Source organism: Homo sapiens, chromosome 10 (genome assembly GCF_000001405.40).
Source record: "Homo sapiens chromosome 10, GRCh38.p14 Primary Assembly".
NCBI lineage: Eukaryota > Metazoa > Chordata > Mammalia > Primates > Hominidae > Homo > Homo sapiens.
In genome coordinates this window covers 22,632,676-22,657,562 of record NC_000010.11, presented here as the reverse complement: position 1 = coordinate 22,657,562, position 24,887 = coordinate 22,632,676, and the positions used below count along the sequence as shown (strand labels likewise).

Below are 24,887 nucleotides of genomic sequence, written 5' to 3'. Positions count from 1 at the left end.
CGTCTGTCTTTGCTTTGGAATAGGGAGTTGAAAGGCATCCTTTTGAAGATCCTTCAGGTGAAAAGAAAAATCCAAAATTGCTCTAGGAAGACTTGTTACTGACCCACAACAGTCAAAAATAAAATTGAAGAAGTTCCTTGAAAAGACAAATTTTAGTCCCTTGAAATATGGAATACCTTTTGATAAGGGCTGATGGAAGACTGGTGCTTTGTTCCTAAACGTCATTCATTATCTTAAGTGCTTTGGGGTTATTCCCAGCTGTCTCCCATGGATGTCTGGAGGTGAAGGCATCCCATTGCAGAGGGAGGAAAAAGTACTGCGTTGCCAACAGAGTTATCTCCACCAGCTGTCTGGGGCGGTTGGTGCTTCTGAGAATGTTCTGTTCCAATTGTGGCCTGAGTGCTACAAAGTAAGACACAGATGTTTGATATATCAATCACAGTATTAGATGTTGGGGCAGATATAAAGCAAAATAAAATATGGCCCTAGAGCCAAAGTGTACATTAAATGCTGAACACTGCTCTTGGCCCCGTTGGGAACTGGAAGAGGCTTCCTCAAGCTCAGGGAGTTTAGAATCTAACTGGCGAATCATTTAGGACTCTATTTTGAAAGTCAGTTTTGAAAGTGACATAAAATAACTCAAACTGACTTGATCAGAAAGAGAACTTCAAGTATAAAAAAAATCCAGGTGTAGTTCTACCTAGAGTCTCATATAGTTTACCATGGCCTGGCTCTTTCTTTTTTCTTTGCTTTTTTTTTTTTTTTGAGATGGAGTCTGGCTCTTCTCACCCAGGCTGGAGTGCAGTGGCACGATCTCGGCTCACTGCAACCTCCGCCTCCCAGGTTCAAGCTATTCTTCTGCCTCAGCCTCCTGAATAGCTGGGATTACAGGTACCCGCCACCACACCCAGCAAATTTTTTACTTTTAGTAGAGATGGGGTTTCACCATGTTGGCCTCAAACTCCTGACCTCAGGTGATCCACCCGCCTCAGCCTCCCAAAGTGCCGGGATTACAGGTGTGAACCACCGTGCCTTTATTTGCACCCTTGTAGCAGCAAGATGGTCTCAGCAGCTCCAGCCTTACCGTGTTCACCACTGAGTCCAGCAAGACAGTGTCTCTTCCCTTAACAGTGGAATGAAAGTCTTAGGCCTGACTGTCCTTACCCCAAATTGGGTCATACGTCTGTCCCTGAAGCAGTTGTCGTGTCCAGGGGAATGGGAAGTGCTTATTTTTTTTAGGCACAGTTCCCCTCTCCCACTTCTGGAGCTGGACTGGGAATTCGAGAGGGGCCGGTGCCCCAGGTGGGGACACAGGACACTAACCAGAAGGAGCTGAGTAGATGTGGAGGAGCGGGAACAGCCGGTGTCCCTCACACGGGAGTCAGAACTCATCCATGAGGAAACAATAACATGAGATGAAACACTTAGGAGTAATTCTATATTATTTCATTAAATGTGCCATAGGAGTTGAGAGGAGGATGGCAGCAAGGTCTGGGGTCATTGAGGTCTTAATGCTCCGTAGAGCAGATCGATAGGAACTTGCCCCTTAAGGATTGGTGGATTCTTGGTTTGATTCCCCCAAGATGCTAATGGGGGAATGCCTGGAGTTGGAATTGATGCCCACTCCAGCGCTTTGTGCCCCTCCAGTGGAACGATGCAACACTACACAACACACCCAGCACAACACACTCAGCTCTTAAGGCTGACACAGGAACCCGGAAACTCCACTCTTGCACAAATCACAGATTTGGTAAAAAGCCAGGGTATGCTTCAGCAACAGTCAATAAATGAGTAAGTAAGCGAATCGTGGTACAGATGCATGTCGGAATGTTTTCTAGCCATCCAGTCATGTTTACATTTTAATAAATAGTTGTTGAGCACCTACTCATTAAAATATTTGGAAGAATTTTTAAATGAGAAACGCTGAGCTGCAGAATTGTTTACAGGATGAGTTCAGCCATCTGCAAACAACTTAGAACACAAAAGCCTAGAAGGAAATACATCAAAAAGATATGTGGTTGTTTCTGTTCTTTATACTTACCTGTAATTTTAAGACAAATGAAAAAGACCGCACAGCTGTGAACTGGCTAAATCAAGAGACAGCATTTGAAATATGGGGCGTCAGGCTTGTGCAGAGAAGAAACATAAATTACCATGGTTCTGGAAGGCAGGGCAGCAGTCACAAACAGACCTCCACCTCCTGCCGAGGGCTCCAGCTCTGAAGATCTCATCTTGTGCATGGCTGCATAGACAGGGATCGGTGCCTGTTACACTGGGTTAAGAGCTTCAGCTTTTCTTAAAAATCTTCAGACCTCTGCCTTAGAGATGGTATTTTGCAAAGTGTTTCAATTGAGTCAAATTGTTATTTTTCCACCTGGTGGTATCCCAGGGCTTCTATCAATTTACCTTGTGTATGTCCTCTGTCCTGCCTCTTGAGGCACAATTTCCTTTTTCCATTTTCATTTTTAAATTTTAAATTTTCTTTTTTAGAGACAGAGTCTCACTTTGTTGCCCAGGCTGGTCTCAAACTCCTGGCCCCAGGTGGTCCTCCCTCCTTGGCCTTCTAAAGTAGGGATTATAGGTGTGAGCCACCCTCCTGGTGCACTGTTTTTTCAGTCCACTCATTTCTGTCCCCTGCATTTTCCTTGGGTAAAGCCCCAGGCCCACTTTTGCCGTAGCCTTCTTTGATTTGCTTTAATTTGAACTTTCACAGGTAAAACCTTTCATAGGTTTCAAAGCAGTCGCACACATCTCATTTGCTGCCTTGAGATATAGCTGGATGATGCCATCATCCCTATTAAAATATGTGAGGGGAGGGCTCAGAGGTGTTAACTGCCCAGAATTATACAACCCTGGTCTCCCAACTCCAGCTTGCAGGGCTTCCCCACCATGACCAGCAGCTGGACCAGACCCTTTCTTGGGAATGCACACTTGACTACCCCTGAATCACTTTAAAACTCACCTGTCTCTGAAGACATTGTTTCTCAGCGACAGCTTCACTAGCACTGTTTGGTCTTATTAACCCCTTTCCCTTCTGTTGCCCTTTTGATCCTGAAATCTTAGCCCATGTTAAGAACGCCTTTCACAGATGTCGTTGTTACTAAGATTCTCCAATTTTTAGCTTTTTGTACTTACGATTTGGATCATTTGCCCACTCTGAGTATCTATTTTTACACGTCTTTTTTTTCTCCACACATGGTAAATTCTTGGAAAGTGAGAGCTGTGTTTTTCATTTCCTTAATAGTGGATATTTCTGCTAGGGGGAAGTTTAATCTGAGTGAGTGTCCAGCTCACCTTGAGGAAATAAAATAATTCAACCTTGAATATTTTCATAGCATTTTTAAAAATTATGAGATTAAATTTTCCTGAAAAATTTACGGAAACATGTGTTTTTCAAAATTAAGTTGGAAATATTAATGGCCTTGGGCATCTGCGGCCAGCAAAGTCATTGCCATTCCAGAACCCCTCACTGCAGGGTTTCCTTTCGTCCATTTATTAAATCTAAGCCCCATAGTGAGGAGAGACACTGCTGCACTCACCAAAAAACCACTGTTTATAAAATGCTTGGGCACTTCAGAGACAGCAGCTGTTTTCTCTTGGTATTAACACCGATCTGCAGATTGCCAGTTCTTCAGAATACAGACCTTTCCCAAATCTCCACTAATTTTGTTTATTTATTTATTTATTTTGAGATGGAGTCTCACTCTGTTGCCCAGGCTGGAGTGCAGTGGCGCAATCTTGGCTCACTGCAACCTCCGCCTTCTGGATTCATGCGATTCTCCTGCCTCAGCCTCCGAGTAGCTGGGATTACAGTAGAGACAGGATTTCGCCATGCCGGCCAGGCTGGTCTCGAACTCCTGGCCTCAAGTGATCCACCCACCTCAGCCTCCCGAAGTGCTGGGATTACAGGGGTGAGCCACCATGCCCGATCCCAAATCTCCACTAACTTTAGGTGCGTAGGATGGACTGAGCAATTTTGGAAATTCCAAAGCACCAGGGCCCTACCTCCTTTCTTCTGTCTGCCTCCCCTGCCTTCCCAGTGTGCATCTGCTGAATTGAATCATTAAGAGAAAGATTAAGATGAGTGGAAGGTGAGCCTGTTGTTGCTGACAGTTCACTTTCCCCAGTGAAACTGTCAGGAAGACAAAGAGATGTTGAAGTTTTAGAGTAAGTGGCCCAGGGTCTTACGGTATCCTGCAGTGTGACACTGGGTAGAAAGAGGTGGAGGAGAAGGAAGGAAGTGGCCTGGCTTGGCTGTCATGCACTGCCTTCCTTCATTTCCTTACCTCCCACGTACTGCCCCCCACCTGAGGCAAGAGGGGAGGAGTTTTCACCTTTTCCATATCTTCTTCTTTATTCTTTGAAACTATTTTTCTTCTTAGAGTTGTCTTTGGTAGAGTGGCCCTTAACTTAGTGTACAGTATGATTCATACCCCCGGGGGTGGTCCTTTCTCATAAACCCTTCTTTCTTTTTTTTGAGATACTCTGTTGCCCAGACCGGAGTGCAGCAGCACCATCATAGCTCACTGCAACCTCAAACTTACGGGCTCGAGCCATCCTCCCACATCAGCCTCCTGAGCAGCTCAGACTGAAGGTGTGTACCACCACTCTCAGCTTATTTTTGTGGTTTTGTGGAGATGGGGGTCTCATTATGTTACTCAGGCTGGTCTCAAACTACTGGGCTCGAGTGATCCTCAAGCCTCAGCCTCCCAAAGCTCTGGGCTTGTAGGCGTGAGCCACTGCGATGGACCCTTCATAAACGTTTCAAGCAGCATTGAACCAGAACAAGGAGCAGCGTTTTCAGTTGGGAATTCATTGTGTATTTTTCATTAAGAACATAACATTTCTTAACTTAGATGTTTGTGTAACCTGAGTTGCAAGATGAATTTACCACACAGTGACAGACTTTAAATTTTTGGTTTTAATACACATTTGCGTATTTTAAAAGCAAATGTACCTTCAGCCTGTGAAATAATATGCTAGATAATTACAGGTACTTTGACTTCAGTTATGTCTTAGATTTATTATAACTACAGTGTTGATTACTACGAAGACATTGCTTTGCAGAGGGAGATGTCTCAAAATGTCACAATTCAGTGTTTTATTATCAGACAGTTGCTAAAGTGGATAGTTAAAAATTGAGGCCTGGCATGGTGGCTCACACTTGTAATCCCTGTACTTTGGGAGGATGAGGCAGGCGGATCACTTGAGGTCAGGAGTTCAATACCAGCCTGGGCAACATGGTGAAACCCTGTCTCTACTAAAAATACCAAAAAAATAGGCATGGTGGTGCGCACCTGTAGTCCCAGCTACTCGGGAGACTGAGGCAGGAGAATCGCTTGGCTTGAACCTAGGAGGCAGAGGTTGCAGTGAGCCAAGACCATGCCGCTGCACTCCAGCCTGGGTGACAGAGTAAGAGTCTGTCTCAAAAAAAAAAAAATTTGTGTGCAGTTTTTCAGTTATTTCATGACTATTAGTGGTTATTCAACACAAATTAAGCACTGTATCAGTTACAGGGCTCAGTTAAATAATACAGAATCTACAGGAGCTGATTTAGATAGCAAGGCATTAAATGTACTAGTGAGTATTAATAGTGGCTCAGTCTCTGCAAATGCTGAAAAAGCAGCTCTGGATAGTGCTAGCAGGTGGGGAATCATTATTTTATATCCAGATCACTAGTAGCAAGGAAATCTGAGAAATTAATTTTCAGTTCCCCAGCCAAAGCAGCACAGGAAGTCACACAAGCAGTGAGGGGTCGCCCACGCATCTGTCCTTGGCACCCTGCAGCCACTGAGCTGCCTCCCGGGCACCAGCACAGACCTCAGTAGTCGTGGCCTTGCTCTCACCGGTTCCACTGTCCGGGAGACAGATGTCAGATACATCATACAAATACCAATGATGACAACTGCATAAGGCTAAAAGACAGGTTCACAATGCTTAGAAGTAAATAATAAGGGGACAGAGTCTAAAGTGGAGGTGGTGTGGACGCCTAGGAAGTCTCCTGGAGGAAGATGCATCTAAGCTGAGAGCTGGCCAGGAGAAGCAGAGTGAGGGAGTGAGAGAATTCCAGGCAGAGTTGCTGCGTGGGAGGCCCCAGGCTCGCTGGGAGAACAGAGCAAAGGCCGGGGTGATCGGAGTGAAAGGCCACAGGGCATAGAGTTGGGGACAAGGTGGGGTCAGGTAGGGCTTTGAGGTCACCAAAAGGATTTTTCCTAAGAGCAATTGGAAGTCATCTTTTGAGGCTGGGAATAGTGGCAGATGAGTGCTTTTAAACAATCACAGCCGCCTCAATTGGGAGAAAGGCTTGGAGGAGGGACAGAGTGAAAGGCAGGAGACCAGTTAAGGGTCTGCTTGGTGGACAGACTTAGTGAGTCCAGATAGCTGGTGGGGCTTAGGAGGTGGAGAGAAACTAGACATCCACTCATCCAGACTCAGGGCATGGTTTTCTGGCATAATTAACTTTGTGGTAAGAGTGCCTTTTTAGCCCTCTAAATGGAGATGTTAAGAAAGCCATTGGTCGTGGAAGTCTGGAGCTCAGAGAGTGGGTAGGAGCTAGAGCTACAAATCTGGGAGCTGTCACTTCCAGATGAGATTTAAAGTCCGGTGGTGAACCAGGTAGGCTTGAGAGGCCGTGGCCTGAGGTGGCTCGAGCCAGACCACTTGGACATGTAGAAGCAGGCTAGAGCAGGAACAGCCAGCCAGTAAAAGGTAGGGGAAAAAAAAAAACCCAGTAGATTTCCAAAAAGAAGAAACTCTCCATCTAGTTTAGGAAGTAATCTTTTTGTTTGGAAATAGACCATTTCTAGAAAGTATAGAAGTTGGTTCATGTATCTCATCCTGCTAGCAGCTAGGCTGTGCCTGGAGAAGTTAATTTAAAATAAAGAATGAGTTTATCTCTGTTGAGAACATTAACTTTCTTGCTATACCGCGAGTGGCACCTAAGTGAGAGTATATATTGAAGCGAGAAGTCCAGCTTGTTCACAATATCACAGTAAAATTGAGCTCAAATAGGTTCTCTTGTGTATAGAGTGCTCTGTATTTCATGGTGGACTACATAGGGCAGATATTCCTTCTTCCATTTTATAGTTATGAAAACTGAGGCAGCCTGGGCAACATGGCAAAACCCCATCTCTACAAAAATTAGCTGGGTGTAGTGTCATGCCCCTGTAGTCCCAGCTACTCCGGAGGCTGAGGCTGGAGGATCCCTTGAGCCCGGGAAGTCGAAGTTGCTGTGAGCTGTGGCCATGTCACTATATACTCCAGTCTGGGTGACAAAGGGATACCCAGTCTCAGAAAAAAGAAAACTGAGGCTAAAAAACGGTAAGTGATATGACTGTAAAACCTTCACACCTGCTTGTAAATACCTCTGATAGATCATCAGAGCTGGGTCACCTGGGAAGTCCCTAAGGGAGTGGCCCACAAGGCAGGCCACTTGGGATTCTGGAATAGCCTAGAAGATTTTTGGACACACACTTAGTTTTATTGGTCAAATGTTTGAGCCAAATCCCATGGATGGGTTCTGGGGAGATACACAGTCCCTGTCCCCAAGGAGTTGATGGACTAATGAGGAAGGCAGATAGAACCATGAACTCTGGGTGTTCCTGCCATTCTCTTGCAGCGATACAGGGGAACTTTTGTACCTGATGGGATGGGAGAGGGATATGAATGGCCATAAAGGAAATAGAGGAAAAAAGTAGGGCTGATATCGTTTGCTGAAGAATGAATCTACATAAGTATTTTTCCTGGGGGCAGGTCCTTCCACCTGCCTGTGCTGTGTAATTTAGCGAGGAGACTGATGTGGGTATGGCCATCCCTCTTACTGAGTAAATCTGTCCCATTATGTAGCTGTCCACCCCGTTCCTGGTCTTGCCGCTGAGGGAGCATGCCCCTCCCTTGGAGGTGAGCTAAGTCAGGATGTTCGGGTTAACCATGAGCCTGCGTGTGCTAATGCTTTCAGACTTCTTCCTTCCTTGTGTCTGCAGTGTCACCCACTAGTTATTTTATTAGCTCCTGGAGGACAGGGAGCATGTTTTCTTCTCCTGGTCTTGGCCCCTTGCACTGTGCCGGGTGCAACTTGGCGCTTAGGTGGAAAAGAGATGGCCGTTTGACACGTGTTTTGGCTCAGGGGTTTTTCTCAAGTTCAACAGTAACTCCACTCACTCAGCCCTTTTATGTGGAAGATGATTCATTTGACAGCCAAGTTAATATTTTAAAAGTGTGAACTTAAAACAATAAAGAAACTTTTGGGGAGCTGGAAAATCTATAGTCAAAGGAGAAAGAAACAGACATTATAGACCCATCTGATCGTGGAATACAGGAACATGTTAAATTATTCATAAGTTGCTTGATAACTGGTGAATAAATGTATGATGGAACATTTAGAATCTGGCGAAGCCTTCTAGAGAATCCATTAAACAAATGCATGCAACAGCAAGAAGTTTTGGATAAATTTTTATTCTTATAAATTGATGACATATAGCTAAACTCAAATTTGAACTATTAGTGAAAATATTCCAGTGCCCAGATTAGTAAATTATTTTTATTAGTGCTTTCTGGCTCTAAAAACTGGTATTTTATGGGAAATCAGAGGGTTAATTCTTGAAAGTATGATACTGATGTCCTAGAATGTGCTTTCTGCCCTCAAGCAAATGGCATGGCTTTGGGCTACGTTCTGATGATCACAAGTATCTCTGAATTGCTTTCTGTTTCAGGAATGTGTATCCTCTCTAGTATTCATTGGCCAAATTGATCTCTTAAAGACATTGTGGTCTGGCAAAGTTGCTTCTTGCTCATTAAGCTTGGGAGTATGTTTTAAATAGTTACATTCAATTGTTTCCTTGAAGCGTGTGAAGGAAATGTGCCTGTTTCAGACCACAAGAGCCAGGGAATTTTTTTAATGTCTGATTGTGGTTAATCAGTTTTCTGTTCTTCCTGGAGATAAACTGCATAAGAAAAGGTCACATGTTTCAGGGCTCCTCCTGCAAAATCAGAGATAGTATGAAATGACAGGAAGAGTGTTTTCCAGTCTGAGGAAAATACTTGGAAAAGGCAAAATATTCATTATCTGTAACAAGTGGTTAAAGATTTTCAAAGACATTCATAAAAATTGAAGAATAATAATGAAGTTGTCCCATGGAAGAAATATTCTTCAGATTACTTTTCCTCTTCTTTGATACTGTAATAACCAGAGGGCCATTTAATGTCAGCTAATAAAGGAGTCACAGAGTAACTACTAAGCAGACTTAAGGAATTAACTCTCCCCACACCGTCCTTAATTGAGTTTTTTGGTTGTCTGAATATTTTCTGTACATATTCTCACTCATTATTTGGTACTTTTTTTTTCTTTTTACTTAGCATATTTTAAGATACAACCTTTGCAGGAAAGAAGAGAGAAAACTGTATATTTAAACAGAGTGAATTTTGTGTTAACTCTGAAAGGACAGAGACTGGAAGGAAGATAAGTCAGGGCTTGAATATTCCAGGAAGGCTTTGAGGAGGAAGGAAATAAAGTCTGAACAGCCTTGAAGAATGGGTAGACGTAGGAAAGGATTCAGGAAGGTCTTTAGATAACAAAAGTAGAGATCCAGTGGCTGAGATGTTGTCGATGTTTTATTTTTATCTTCTAAATGCTTTTCTTGGAAGATCTTATTTCTTTTCACACATTGTTTTTCTTTTGTTTTTCCCAGCTCTCTGCTTCCAGGGCTAATGGTGAGTTTTCTGCCGTGTAAAATCCCAAAGGGTCGCTTGCATGTACTTGTTGCCAGTAGCCTGTTTTCATTGGGTCATTTACTGTGGTTTAATATGCCACTTCCCCAGTGGACCTGATGTGAAGAAAGTCCCCACAATCCTGTCTTCTGTGACCTTTCTGAGGCCTTTTCCTTGTTACTTGGAACAAAGATGTGATAGCTGATTGGGAGGAGAGTGTTTCATGTCATCTATCACACCAGTCACTTTGTTTTTCCATGTTGTTGAATGCAGATTGAGTTACTGTTGTGGCCTATGTTATTGTTGTCCATGTTGTGTAGATCTCATGACTCTCTGATGGTGTTTAAGATGGGATGCCTCTGCCATCAAATCCCAGGAGAGCCTGTTTTTCTCCACCTCGGTCCTTTCACTTTCTTATCTGCTTCCCTGCCTCCTCCTCTGGTCCCACAAGCCTTTCACAAAATAGTTAACATATTTGCTTTAAGACAGAGCTTGAAAACACACGCACACGCGCGTGCACACACACACACACATACACACACACACACAGTATTTAGAGACTAGATACTGAATTGTCTGATGAGACTTAGAATTTGATTCTCCTACCCTGTATCTTGCTACCAAAAATGGCACATGGGCACACATACACACTTTTAATAGGCAACTTAAAGCCCATGAAATAATGAGAGTAATAATAATAGTAGTTACGAAGCCTTGCATTTCCTATTCTGCTTTGGCCAGAGAGCAATAAAGCCTCATTTAAAAAGCAGCTTTCCATCTTTCTTTGAAAAAACTTTGTAGTAGAAGTAAACAATTCTGTTTGTTTCAGTGAGAGAAAACACCCATGGATCAGCCAGGTTGACAGCCTAGTCAGCTTGCATCCTGGTTTGTTTTTTTTTGTTTTGTTTTGTTTTGTTTTGTTTTTTGTTTTGTTTTGTCTTGAAGAGTTTTTGCTGAAGGAAGCATTAGAGTTCTACTTAATATGCATACAATAGAAAGTAGTAATTAAGGAAAAGGATATATCAGCCAACCTATCTTAAGAAGGATCTAACTAGATAAACTTTGTCTTTAAGACAGTCCTGACTCTCAGACTCCACAGGTGGGTGCAAACAACAGTGCTCCCCACTGGAGATCCTGGGGCCCACTTTGGCTTGCCTTCAGAAAGGGAAGACAAAGTGTCCCTCCCAAGTTACAAACGCAGGTTGTATACTGTGGCTTTTACTCTCTGATAACCAAATTAGCCTTCTAAACAACTATTCTCAGCAGAAGTAAGGGTGGTCTTGATTTTTGTGTTTTTTTTGCCATCCATACTAGTCTGCTTCCTGTCTTTTCAGAGAGCAAGGCTGTTTGTAAGAAAAATGTGTGAACTGAAAACCACCACTACCACCTATTAGATGAGTACAAGATAACCAGAAACCAAATACGAAATGAGCTGTCAGAGCTGTTGATAAGCTCTCTTGTGTGAAAGGAAAGAATAAAAATGCAGCAAAAGGCCATGAGAATTATTTTTAAAAGTAAGACTATAGACAAAAGTCCAAGGAAATCTTAATCTCCCTTTCTCTATTCCTCTTGTCTCATTCTCCAGCCAACTTTAGGGACAAGCAATGTCTTCATCGAGAGGCACATCACATCCCCAAAGGTGGGTTCTTGGTGACCAAAGTACCTGCCTACAGAAAGCAGAGAAGCCTGTTTTCTTCCTTGTGTCTGTAGGAAAGTTGTCTTTCAGATGTAGTCTTCTTTGTTCATCTGTTACTGTGCACTGCCAGGCTGACCCCTTTTCTCAGGCAGATTGATCATGAAATTAAAAATGGTTTACCTGAGTTAATTATATTATTAGGCTGGGCACAGTGGCGCACACCTATAATCCCAGCACTTTGGGACGCCAAGATCGGTGGATCTCTTGAGCCCAGGAGTTCCAGACCAGCCTGGGCAACATAGGGAGACCCCGTCTCTACAAAAAATAAAAAAATTAATACAAATAAATAAGTAGATTAGCTGGTGTGTTGGCTCGTACCTGTAGTCCCAGCTACTCAGGAGGCTGAGGTGGGAGGATCAACTGAGTCCAGGAGGTCCAGGCTGCAATGAGCCCTGAGCTGAGATCTCACCAGCTTGGAGTGTAGACCCTGTCTGAGTCCCTGAGTGAGACCCTGTCTCAGAAAAAAAAAAAAAAATTAAGTACTATCTTCATGTTTTTCAAGACATTTTCCACTTGTTACTTTAACAAAGTTTACAGTATTCTACTTGTTTTCATTCCTTCAAAACTAATCTTTTTCTTTCTTTTCTTTTCTTTTCTTTTTTTTTTTTTTTTAAAGAAATAGAATCTTTCTCTGTTACCCAGAACTGGAGCACAGTGGTGCAATCGTATCTCATTGCAACCTGAAACTCCCAGGCTCAAGTGATGCTTCCATCTCAGCCTCCCGAGTAGCTGGGACTACAGGTCCTGCCACCATGGCTGGCTAATTTTTAAAATGTTTTGTAGAGACAGGGTCTCACTATGTTGCTCAAGCTGGTCTGAAACTCCTGGGCTCAGGTAATCCCCTCACCTCAGCCTCCCAAAGTGCTGGGATTATGGGCGTGAGCCATCGTGGCTGGCCCTAATTCATTTTTAATAACTAACCAGACACACTAGTGGTGTTATACGTGAGCATTAATATTTTTTTGTCATCGTCACCCATTTAAAAAAATTGCGTTTTCAAAATGAGTTGCTTCAACCTAGTGTGGAGAATCAAAATTTTAAAAGATCAAAATTTTGGTATTTTAAAAGTCAATTCTGACCAATTATAGTGATTTGGTTCTACCTGATAGTTTAATATTTCTTTGCTCTTTTAGTAAGTCCCCAGCATAGGGGGAAGGGGGTAGGCAGTAAGTCTTAGAAAACTGTCTTGCGAATTTACTGACTCTTATGGATTGGGAATTTCTAGGAGTATCTGGAAATTAACCGAAGCAGTTCTTTTTCTTCTCCAGTTAGGGCAAGTTGCCATGAAACAAATAATGGTGACTTGGTTGGTTCATTTAGTTCATTTATTTATTGAATATTTATGGCCTGTCCACTAATTACCTGGCACAAGTGTAGGTCCTAGAAGATACACACTAGGGAAAAAATAGACACACAGACTAGATCCCTACTGTCCTGTCTTACATTCTAGGAGGCGGAGAGAAAATGTTAAAAATGAACAAAGTAAGTTGTCAGGTCAGGTGCTACCAAGTGCTAGGGAAGGAGATTAGAGTGGTGGGTGCCATCTGGATAGGGTGGTGAGGGGAGCCCCATCTGCTAAGGTGGCATTTGAGAGGAGACTTGAGGTGAGAGACTGGGAAGTGAGGTGGGGACCGAAGCCTGACGGACTAGCCATGGGCAAACCAGGCAGGAGTTTAGCCAAGGTGAGGACTTGTAGAGGAGTTGGGCAGGGATGTGAAATAATTAGCTTGATGTTCTGCATAGGATGCCCTGGGCTGCAAGGTGTGGAACTGATAAGCCAAGACCTCCCAGGAGGCTTTGCCGCCATCTGCAGAATCATGCTGATGGCTTTGAAGAGAGAGGCAGTGGTGGAGAGAAGTGGCTGATTTGGGGCATGTTTTGAATAAAGAGCCCACAGATTTGCTGAAGACTTGACTGCAGGGTGAGAGGGGAGTCAGAGTCAACTCCGGGAGTTTGGGCCCAAGCTACTCTGTGCATGGAGGTGCTACTCTGTGCGTGGAGGTCCCACTGGCTGAGAGAGGGAGGGGTGAGCAGGAGCTGGTTGCAGGCCAGGGGAGAACAGGACTTCATATTTACGTGTTGTTTAGTTTTGGGGATGCTTGTTAGAGATCCAGCTGGGGATGGTGATTAGCAGGAGTTTAGAATTCAGTGGAGAGATTAGGGCTAGAAATGTTTTAAAAACTGAGAGCCATTGCACTGCAGATGGTGGGGCAGGCTGGGTTCTGGAGGATGATAAACCCTCCAAGGGAAGGGGAAGTGGCCAGGAGCCTTCCAAGAGGCAGAGGCGTGGTGTAATGTGATGGTAGGTGCTTCAGAGGGGATGACCGCTTCAGGGAGGAGGAGGGAATGGGGGTGTGGGATTGGTCAGGAGGAGCACAAGGCACCTACCCCATCTTCTGGTTCTGTGGTTCCTGCGCAGAAGAAAAAAATACTTGAGGGGGGCTGCAAGGGAAGTGTGGTCCTTGGGGACAATCAGAATTTGGCTGGCATGAAAAGATAAAGGTTCAGCGTTAGGTTAATTTTTGCTGATGAGAAATTATGACTCTTGGAGAGCCCCATGGAGGGATTTGGGGGCCTGGGATGGCAAAGGTTCAGGTCAACTGGGTCAGGTTAGGCAATCTTTGGAGGGGAATGGAGCGAGCTGGTGGCTAGAATTCTTGTAACATCTGAATTAAACAGGGATGGAAGGCCTGGTGGGATTAATCTGCCTTCCTAAGACAGATCTAAGGGTGAGCAAACTTTTTCTGCAAAAAGACAGTAAGTATTTTAGGCACTGTATTTAGGCCATACAGTTTCTGTCAGTGACTCAAACTTCTATCATAGCACGAACACAGCCATAGATAACACAAATCAATGGGCCTGGCTCTGTTCCAATAAAACGTTATTGACAAAAGCAGCCAGCGGCCAGATTTGCCCATAGGATGTAGTCTGGCAAACTGTAGACAAGGGAGTTAGTAATTGGTGAGAGAGGGATGAGGAGATGGGTGGGAAGAAGGGGCCCGAGACTTGGAGTTGGGAAAACTGGAGCTCCAGGAGCCAAGTCCTCAGTCTGTCCCCATCCTGATGAGGTGTCCATCACCCACAGGGAGAACTAGGTGTTTCCACTCCTCCTCCTTGGTGCTGGAGCCTTTTGAAAATTGCTTAATGAAATAGGCAGGTAATCCCAGGTCTCATATTCAGGAGCGTGATGAGCTTCTCCTCATCTCCACAGCAGACAGACTAGAGGAAAGAGACTTAAGATGTAATCAGAGATGTTTACATTGACAAAAGAAAACTTCTTGGCAGGAATGAAGCTAAAATACATGAATTACTATCTAGGAAGGTCTGAAGATTGTTGGAGGTTAGAATGAACAAGACCAATTTCCTTCTCTTACCTGGACCACAGAGACTTTGTTGGTCTTTTCCAAGCCCTAGATCTTTTCATGTGAATGTGTCATTGTCTTAACTCTATAAGAGGCAAACCTGTTCTAACTATCGTTTTGATGTGCTATAAATACACTGTTCTATTATAGATCTGTTTATAAACAGATCAGTGTGTGTGTATATAGAGACACACACACTGATCTGTTTATAAATACACATATAAATATACATACAGACACACATGATCTGTTTATAAATACACTGTTATAGATACTCCTAATTTAAGAATATATATTTAAAATTTCTCAAGTTGCAAGTGGTAAAGTTATGTTTAATTATTTATCTTAATAAATTGAATACCTATTAGTGACATTCTGAGTGACAAGGTTGATTTTTCCAGCCTATCCTAGTATTCTTTGTTGGTATGATTTTATTTGCCAAAATAAATTGGTTTGCCTCAAACCACACACTAGGTGCTAAGTATCTTCAAAGCAAAATTCAATGAAACTTGAAAGTGCTATAGGACTGAGGTTGTAAGTGACAGAAACCCAATTCAGACTAAGCAGAAAGAGAGCTTTGTCTCCAGGATCCGAGGGTGCATTCTGGAGGCCCGAGCTAGGATGTGGAGCAAGGGATGTGGCTGAGCCCACAGTGCAGCTGGAACCAGGGATGCAAATGCCGCCAGGACCTCTCTGTTTCTCACCTCTGCTTCCATCCGCATCTCTGCCTCCTCCAGGCCAAATTTTGGTGAACAGTGACTGTGTCCATTCTTTATATCTCATCATTAAATTATGGGAAGAGTCCTGCGTGAAAGTCCGAAGGTCAGATCCTGGAAAGAAAACTCATTGGTCTGCTTGGGCTTGGGGCCAGCCTTGGCCAGCCCTGAACAATTCTGGCTGCAGAGTAGAGAACCCTGTGATGGCCAGAGAATAGGGTCACAGACATATAGAATCATCACTCCTGTGGTAACCAGGTAGATCTGGGGTTCAGGGAAGGGTGAGATGTGGGTGGTGAGCTGGGCATTCAAAAGAGAAGGTAGGCCGGGCATGGGGGGCTCATGGCAGCTCATGGCCTATAGTCATAGTGCTTTGGGAGGCTGAGGTGGGAGGATCACTTGAGGTCAGGAGTTTGAGACCAGCTGGGCTGATCTCAGAACCCATCTCTACAAAATTTTTTTTTTAAAAAAAAACCTATCTGAGTGTGGTTGCACGTACCTGTAGTCCCAGCTACTTGGGACATTGAGGTGGGAGGATCACTTGAGCCCATGAGTTCAAGGCTGCAGTGAGCTATGATTGTGCCACTGCACTCCAGCCTGGGTGACAGAGCAAGACCCCATCTTTAAAAAAAGAAAAAGAAAAAAAAATGATCAGGTATATGTTAAGTAAACATGAAATCTATATAACAGAACAAAAATTCACTCTTATGTCAATGTCAGCGTGTTAATGTAGATCTATTTACTGAGACAGACTCTGTAGTGGCAGAGAGTGGCCTTGTTAAGCCAGGACCCTGTTCTGCAGGCTGTGGGTAGAAGCTAGGAAGTCCCTGGAGTTTCACCCAGCTTTTCCATGAATGACCTTGGCCTCAGTCTCTTCATTTATAAAATGAGGGGGTTAGATTAGGTGGTCTCCAGAGTACCCTCCGAGTCTAAAACTGCTCTGTCTGCAGCATCATATGTCATAGGATATAATAGACTCTACAACAAGGTTTAAGATGACAAATTTTAAAAATACTGCTGCTACACAAGCATATATTACCATTTGTTGAGCTGATAAGGCTTGATAATGTAATTGGAGGCATTAAATTTTTTTTTCAAAATGGAATATGAATAAAATTTTATATTTCTCCCAAATATTTCTCTCAGTTCTTAGAACTGTTTATTACTTTTTTGCCTGTTATTTTCCCACTAGGTCTCATTGGGCTCCACATCCTTGCTCTATGTTTATGTAGAATATTAAACATCATTCCCTTTCATCTCACTGCAACTGCTTCTCTGTTTCATCCGCACTTTATTTCCACTTTGCATTAGGGAATACAAAACTGAGCCATGTTTAAGCAACGTAGTGTCAATCACCCCGTTTAGATTCCATTTTCCCAGGCGGAGGAGAAGGTAAATAAATTGGATCCAGTGAGAAGCCTGGATATTAGGATGTGCCCATCATTGTCTCTTTCAGCAGAACTCCACACAGAGGACAGGCAATCCCCTAGGCTCTGCACGGGTCACTGGGCACTCCACCCTGCTACACAGCATCAGCATAATCCACTCCCGGAGCCCTTTGTGGGGCGGTGGGTCTTGGCCAGCCTGTTTTCCCCACAGCTGCTGTCCTTAGACCCCTTCATGCTTCACATGCATTAAAAGGACCTGGTGTTGACAAACAAGCTGAGGCTCCTGTGGGATGAATCTCCCAACTGGGAGGTGCTCTTCTGTGTGCAGAAAGAGCACCTGATTGTTGCTAAGGTTTCTTTTGGTACCAAAATAGTACCTTGTGCTACCAAGGGAAATACTGTAGGAGTGAATTTCCCAGATGCAATAGCCGTCATCCTTCTTTGATGATTTATGAGTCCCTGTTAAGTCAAACATTTTCTTTCAATATTCTAAAATTAACAATTTCAAAAATCTAGTGAGCTTCATGTAGAGGATTGTGTTTTAATAAAAGTGATCATTCAAAACACCTGTTTAACTCATAGCTTTCAATTCCAATCAAAGCACTGTTAATCCTTTGCTTGGGATGTCTTGATTTTTCTTTTTCTTTTTCCTTAAAAAAAAAAAAAAAAAAAAAAAAAAAAGACAACACATCCATGCATCTATTGGATTGATATTTGATTCTTCTTGGTAAACCGCCAGTTTTAATTAAGTTTGCAAATTGATATCTGGCTGGAAATTGGATGAAATTCAGCATAGTAATTTCCTTCACGTGTTCTTCGTGTTCTGGAGCAGGGAGTGTGAATTTACGTGGCTGAAGACATTATGTGACTTTAATTACACCTGCTTTTGTGAATGAAATACAACTTTTTAGTTTTGATGGTGTTCATAACAATCCTTTTATGCTTCTTGAAGGGAAGGGATCAGTAAAAGGATATTCAGTTTTAAGCTATGGCAACTTTTATTCACTATAGCAAATAAGTTCACATAGGGATTTTAGTTAGGAAAGCTTGCGGCATTTTGTATTGTGAAAAAAATGTACTCTAATTTTAAAGAAATTTCAGGATATTCCGCGAATTGTGCACACTCTATGTTCTTGACAATTTGTATTCTTGAGTATATTACCCACTTTTTTCCCCACTCATTTTTAAGTCAATTTGAACCTAAGAAAAGTTGGACATATACATACCTTAAAAAAAAAAAACCTCTTAATCCTAATTCTCAAATGGAGAAATTAGAGAACTATATTTGTTTTGTGTCTCTAAGTTAATCAAAATGTTAATTCTTTTTTTTTTTTTTAGCTTCTTTTGATTTCTCAAGTATAAAGTAAATGGGTGTTTCTGGTAAGCTCAGCTGGTGTTTCTCTGAGCACTTTTTGGTTTTGTTACGTGCATGATAAACATGCATGGTAAAGGTTGACAGTTACCTAAATGGCTTTCGGTATTCCTTCTTGGCTTCCTTGGATTTTATTGGCTAATTGATGTGCTTTAAATGTTTTTTTCTGATGTCTTTGATTTGGTGGATGCTCTTTACTGAGGATTCTTTCTGTCCCATTTCCTAACCACCACATCTTGACCATGAGTCATTGTTTTTCTATCAGTGTAATCAAATTAATTTGATTTAGTTGAAGGTATGGGCTAGGGCTTCTGGTGGCCTTGAGAATATACCTTCCAATTTTGCTGTCATGGCACTGTTAGCCAACCACATGCTCAGGGTGGTGCTAACAAAAACACTGTCTGAAGAAGACTTTAACAAGTGCTAATATTAAGATTTTAACCAAGTAAGAATCACTACTAAGATTCTTACACGGGCATAATACTTTTAATCTTACAGAAGAACTGTAATAAATATTCTAAGGCACCATGATTTTTGGACTTTGTCCTTCACTGAACTTCAAGGTCCTACATACTTAAAAACAAAAGCCAAAAATATGTCAATGAATTTCTTTCCATCAAACATACAATAACAATAGAAAAGTGGGTTTTTTTCCCTCCCCCTTCAAAAATTGATCCCTGTTCACTAGGAGAATAATTTCCGTTTAAGATACTTATTTTGAAAATTACTTAGATGGGATCCAGAAAAAGTAAAGGGAAAAAGAATAAAGAGTAAAAATGAGTAGTTCTGTTGTACTCTTCCTGCTCTTTCCTTTTGGTTACGTATTTAGTTTGAATAGGAATGCTTTAAGACATACTTAAATAATAATTTAAGTCAGGAAGACTAATTCTGGGAAGAGGAGAGGAGAACAGTTATTGAGAGAGGCTATAAATTGAGGTCAGATTAACCAAAGAATATGGCCATCCATATAGAAACTTAATATGGAGACAGAAGAGATTGTTCAAAGAAAGGGGAGAGTGTGGCAGAGAAGAGTGGAGTTAATTTACTATGATATACTTAATTTTATATGGGGTATTTTAATCAAAACCCAATGCTTTCTATATTTATTTTCATTATAAATTTTATTCATTCATTCTTAGCAAGTACACTCAACCAGGATGATCAAACCTGCTTCAACATGTAAGTTATTATCCAAAATGCAGCCTTCCTGGAGCCCCATTGGGGATCATTAGTGCAAATTCCACTGTGTTCTTTGGTCCTGGGGGACTGTTCAGGAGGAAGGTGATGCCAGAATTAGCCGATCGAATTGCGGCACTCAGTATCTCCAAAGAGCAGATTTTCCAGAGATAGTATTCACTTATACATCCATTACAGAACTGTCTTCATACTTATTTTCAGATTATCCATTCAGAATCATTCTGTGACTCTGAAAAATCTGTTTTAGAGTATACTTGCTGAGATCCTTTTAAGTAAACAAGTACTTTTTACATTGTCCAGCTTGATGGGCATCAAGACTGTTGAATGAACACGTTTTGTGGGATTTTACACTCTTTGTGGCCGAGTTGCTTTGCTTTGGTGGCTTGTGTCTGAGTTGTGGTTTCGTCTGGGCAGCATGGTTGCTGCAGCCTTTTGGCCGGTGCACTTTACACTGCTTGTCTTGCTTTGTGCTGTTTGCCACCTGGATGATTCCATCCAGCCATTGAACCTCACTGCACAAAGAAGAAAAGAACAAATAACCCATGTGTGTTAGGGCATGCAAGATGCTGGCTTTCTTGAGGATGGCAAATCTATGAATAGAGTCTGGATAGGCTAAGTTATGCAGCATGTGTTGTTATGTTTGGGCAGGTTTCCATAGTCCAAGGCACATCAGCTGAGCAGTAGCAGGTCTAGCTTCTGGTCTTGATGCTAAAAGTAATTTCTTGTGTTATTTTAGTAATAAGTCACTTATTTGGCTTCAGTTTATTAATCTTTTTGTCATCTTTAGGTCCTTTAAGCTCTTAAACTATGGAATCTGTATCTTAGATCGTTATGGATGGGATCAACAGATGAGGATATAACGGTTTGAAAAGAGCCATACTGACAAAGGTGCTTAGTTCCAGAGAGACCAACCTAGGTGTCAAATCATGGGGCCATTTTCACTCTTCTGTGGGTTTTAAAATATACACTTCCATTCCAGACCTAAAGCTTGTTTGACGTTTGCTCTTCCTTGCTACCCTACATAGACATACATTGCCTCCATCTTTAAAATGCTCTGTAGTACTTGTTTATTGCTATTAATGTATAATTGGCCTAAAACAACAAGTGTTTATTTGCTGGGGATTCTGCAATTTGGGCTGGGCTCTGCTGCGCAGTTCTTCTGGTCTCACTCACGTGGCTGCAGTCACCTGGGGAATCACTGGATCTGGGGCTGTTGTAACCACCTTCCAGAAGAACAAACCCAGGGCTCAGTGCTTGTCAGGCTTGTGCTTATGGTCTTGTTTGCTGATTGCCCACTGGCCAAAGCCACCCTCGCGGCCAGTACCAGAGTCACTGTGGGAAGGGGCTGCATAAGGATGTGAACACCTAGGAGTGTGATTCATCGGGGACCGTTAATATGCAGTCGTCCACATATTTACACGCTGGGCTTGTATTTTGAAAGTCTGTACTACAGACTTGAAGGACATGTCTCTATTCCCTGTCCTAGGCTGTAAACTTTCAGAAAGTTTTGCTTGACAGTATCTACACCCCTACAGCGAATGAGGTGAGTGCATAATAAGTTTTGACTGTGTATGGCAGCTCATGCCTATAATCCTACCACTTTGGGGAGGCTGAGGCAGGAGAATCGCTTGAGGCCAGAAGTTCAAGACCAGCCTAGAGAACATAGTGAGACCTTGTCTCTACAGTGTTTTTTGTTTGTTTGTTTTAATTAGCTGGGTGTAGTGGCACACACCTGTAGTCCCAGCCACTCAAGGGGCTGAGGTGGGAGGATCCCTTGAGCCTGGGACGTTGAGGCGGCAGTGAGCTGTGGTCATACCACTGCACTCCAGCCTGGGTGACAGAATGAGACCCTGTCTTTAAAAACTAAAAATAAATAAATTTGAAAAATAAATCAGTTGTGGTGACAGAGGTGGGTGTCTGTACTTCCCTGAGTATGGCCAGGAGAGAACGTTTCCTGTTCCTTCTGGTTCTTTCTCCAGTTCCTTTTCAAGACTCCATTGTGGAGTCCTCTTCCTGAAGATTTTCACAATTTTTTTCTCTCTGAATCCCTTTGTGGCGTTATCAATTCCTATAGCTACGCTTTTCCTAAAGCTTTAAATAAAATCTCTTTGCCGATTACTTCTAAATGTTTTCAGCCTCAGAACCACATTTGTGGCTGCATGTTAAACATCTCCACATGAATAATCTGTGGACAAACCAAAATAATGCATCTTCTACGTACCCTAAGTCGACTTCTCTTTCTGCGTTTCCTGTTTTTGGTAATGGCTTCACCACTCTTCCACTCTCAAGGGCGTGAAACCTCTTAAGCATTCCTAGCACCTGTTGCTTGGTCCTGCATTGTGATTCTGGCCTCCAGTCCTCATCCTTGCTTCAAATTATATTCCACACACTGAGCTCCTTAGAGGGTCCTCGTCATAGAACCCCCCGGCTCATAACTTTCCATGCTTCCTCGCTGCCCACAGAACTCGGCCTGGCACTGAAGATCCCCATCAGTTTGGGCCTTTTAAGTTCTTCAGCCATTTTCTGGGTGTAATGACATGCTCTCTTGAATAAGAATCCAAATCCAAGTGTTTTCCCTCCTTCAGGGTCTGGCTCCAACATTTCCTCCTCCTCAGACAAACTCAGTGGGTAACAGTCTCTTCCCTCTCAATACTATCACAGCCTTTTGTGCTGTTAGCAACTTTTCTTTTTATTTAAAATGGACATTATTTTTTTACAGAAGTTTTAGGTTCACAACAAATTGAGAGAACTGTGCAGAGAGCTCCCACAAAGCCCTTCCAGACACACACATTCAGCCTCCCCACCACTGACATCCCAGTTGGCACCAGAGCAGGACGGTTGTTACATTCGATGAACCTGCCATAACATTTCATTGTCAACCACAGTTCACAGTTGACATTAGGGTTCTCTCTGTGTTGTACATTCTGTGGGTTTTGGCAAGTGTATAATGATACATACCCACCATTATATTAATAGTATGATACAGAATAGTGTCACTGCCCCCCAAATCTGTCGTGCTTCACCTCTGCCTCCCTCCCTCCCCCAAATGTGCTGCACTTCTCATACTCACCTCACTGTTTCTGTTGCTCACCTATGACTCTCTCCACCCCATCGTAGTCTTCTGTTACTATATAGATCTCTAAAAGATGTAGATTACATCTTTGAAATCCCAGTTAAAGTGCAGTCATTATCTCCTAAGACCCAGGTTTTATAGAAATTGGAAATTTTCTTTGGGGACACAAGCCACTAAGGTTAGTGGTTACTTAAGATGAAACTTGACAGGGGAGACATTTTACAGCCTAGTAAAGGTCAGTAAGTATTTGGTGACATTAGAGATGATTTATGCTTTATGTCATAGTTGTGTATGCTCCCTCCTAAATGGTTTCTCTATAGATTAAAAAAAATGTATGCTTCCTAAAACACTTTACACCTCTGCTATGGAGAGGGAGAGAGAGAAAGAGAGAAGAATTGGACCTTGGACAGGAATACATAAGTGCATCCTTCTTTAAGGCAGTCTCCATTTCTAATGTGAATAATAACCTCTTAATTGGTTTTCTAAATTTGGACTTATAAAAGATCCTATTATAAGAAACAAGCGAGTAAATGCCAAACAGGTTAACAGTAACATATGCAGAATATGGTATAATATTGCTGCAAAGAACTCGGCCAAAACGGATACAGCGTTCTAAAGTTGTTGGAACAGCCTTGTCAGCAAGTGTCTAAATGTTCCCCCAAATCTGTAACCGCTAAAGGAAACAAACTTGAAAATAAACAAGAAGTACCATAGGAAAGGAAGGTGATACACCAGAGCAAGACATTACAGTTTCCTATAGCAAAAGGTGTGATGCATGATAGTTTTAGATTGGCCAGCAGTAATGAAACAGGCAAGGCCACTTCTGTTCTGTCCCGTCCTCTTTGGCTGGGCTCTTTGGTCTCTTCTGTGATTTGTGGACACAGTTTTCACAGGTGCTCAGGGTGGCATTGCCTCTCAGCTGCTCTGTGAAATATCAGCTGCAGGTTCTATGTTGAGTTCATGTTCATAGTGACTCTAAGTCCCATAATCATATTTTGATTTAACTACATTTTGTTTTCAATAAAAGTCAGCAAAGATCTATTAAGCGTCTACTCTGGGGCAGCCCTCTGGGGACAGTGATGACAATGACAGTGAAGTGCCTGAGCCAGGCACTGTTGTGGACTCCGTTTTTCCTCACAGCAGCTCCACGCTCCTAGCACTGCATCTGAGATGCCTTGAGAAGCCGACACTCACTTTTCTACCTGTGAATTCGCTTGCTTGGCCTCCCGCTTGCTTATGCCCAGTTGCCTCCATACTGGGGCAAAGATCCGAGAAAACAAAACTACATGCGAGTGTTTAGCATTTATTGTTTCCTTGGTGACCAGTTGTGTGAAGCATTTTTGGAACATATTGCAGACAGCTCTGGGTGTGGCGAGAAGGAATGACGGTCCGGGTGAGAAGGACTCAGCGCCTGCCATGTCTCGGATCCCTTTGACCTGGGTTTCTTGCCCCAAGGTCCCCTCCCCTGCCTGTACCCTTTGCTCCTGGCTCCAAGGAGCACCCCAAAGTTCCAGCCTATCCTGAATGATGAAGATAATTATATTTTTTCCCTCTCCTTACTGGTAGCTGGGACAAAGTTGGGATTTTTTTCCATGAAGGTATTTTTACTGTGGGTAAGTGGGTAAAATAAAAAGAGCAGAGGATCGCATAGACTTACAGAAAGTGAGTGTGTTCTACAGAAAGGCTGTGTGTTTGTTTAATCTAGCTCCCATCTACCTCGTAAGCAGCTTTCCCTCCGGCTACTTTAAGTAGTTGAGCAGGTTTTTCTTTTTCTTTTAAAAAATTATGTCCCTTTCATTTATTTATGTGTTTATAAAACAAGAGGCAGTTGAGAGCCATGGCCAAGAGCCCAGGTTCTGGAGCTGTGTTGCCCAGATCTGAATCCCCTGCGCCATGCAAAGGTCTCTGTGACCTTGAGCCATCACTTAACTCAGCCTCTGCTTTCCTACTGTAAAGAGGGGGGCTGTGTAATAGTTGTGCCCATTTCACAGGGTTAAGGTGGTTACATGGGAGGCTATTGGGGTGGTTAGCAGATACCCGATGTATACTAAGCCTTAAATAAAAGTTAGCCTTAGTGATGTATTGTTATGGGCCATTTTTTGAAATGATGAATGTTGAGGATGAAAAGGGGCCATACAAATAGAAAACCAAAGAATATAAAACAAAATATGAAACTCAACCGCTTCCTACAAGTAAGATATTTTTTTCTTTTGATTGGAAATTATCCATCAAATTTGATAATGTAAGAGAGTCAAGAATATATTATGTCCTATTTCCCCCTACCTTTTTTCCCCATAATTTTTATTTCAAAATAAGCTCTAGAGATTCTTAGCTGGTTCAGCAGGTCATGGAGTAAAATTAAAAAATAACAATGAAGG

The 24,887-nt window shown here is 42.6% G+C and overlaps 1 protein-coding gene across 5 annotated transcripts in view, besides 2 other annotated features; it reads left to right on the top strand.

Annotated features, from left to right (window-relative positions):
- The window catches only part of PIP4K2A (phosphatidylinositol-5-phosphate 4-kinase type 2 alpha), a 179,725-nt gene that overhangs the window by 57,016 nt on the left and 97,822 nt on the right, over window positions 1-24,887 (top strand). The window lies entirely within an intron of this gene.
- Window positions 2,080-2,149: an enhancer, noted in NCBI's record as "active region_3142". NCBI's record gives its function as "activates an Ori minimal core promoter by ATAC-STARR-seq in GM12878 lymphoblastoid cells {active_cell/tissue: GM12878}" and the evidence as "EXISTENCE:reporter gene assay evidence [ECO:0000049][PMID:35858748]".
- Window positions 19,744-19,953: an enhancer, noted in NCBI's record as "active region_3141". NCBI's record gives its function as "activates an Ori minimal core promoter by ATAC-STARR-seq in GM12878 lymphoblastoid cells {active_cell/tissue: GM12878}" and the evidence as "EXISTENCE:reporter gene assay evidence [ECO:0000049][PMID:35858748]".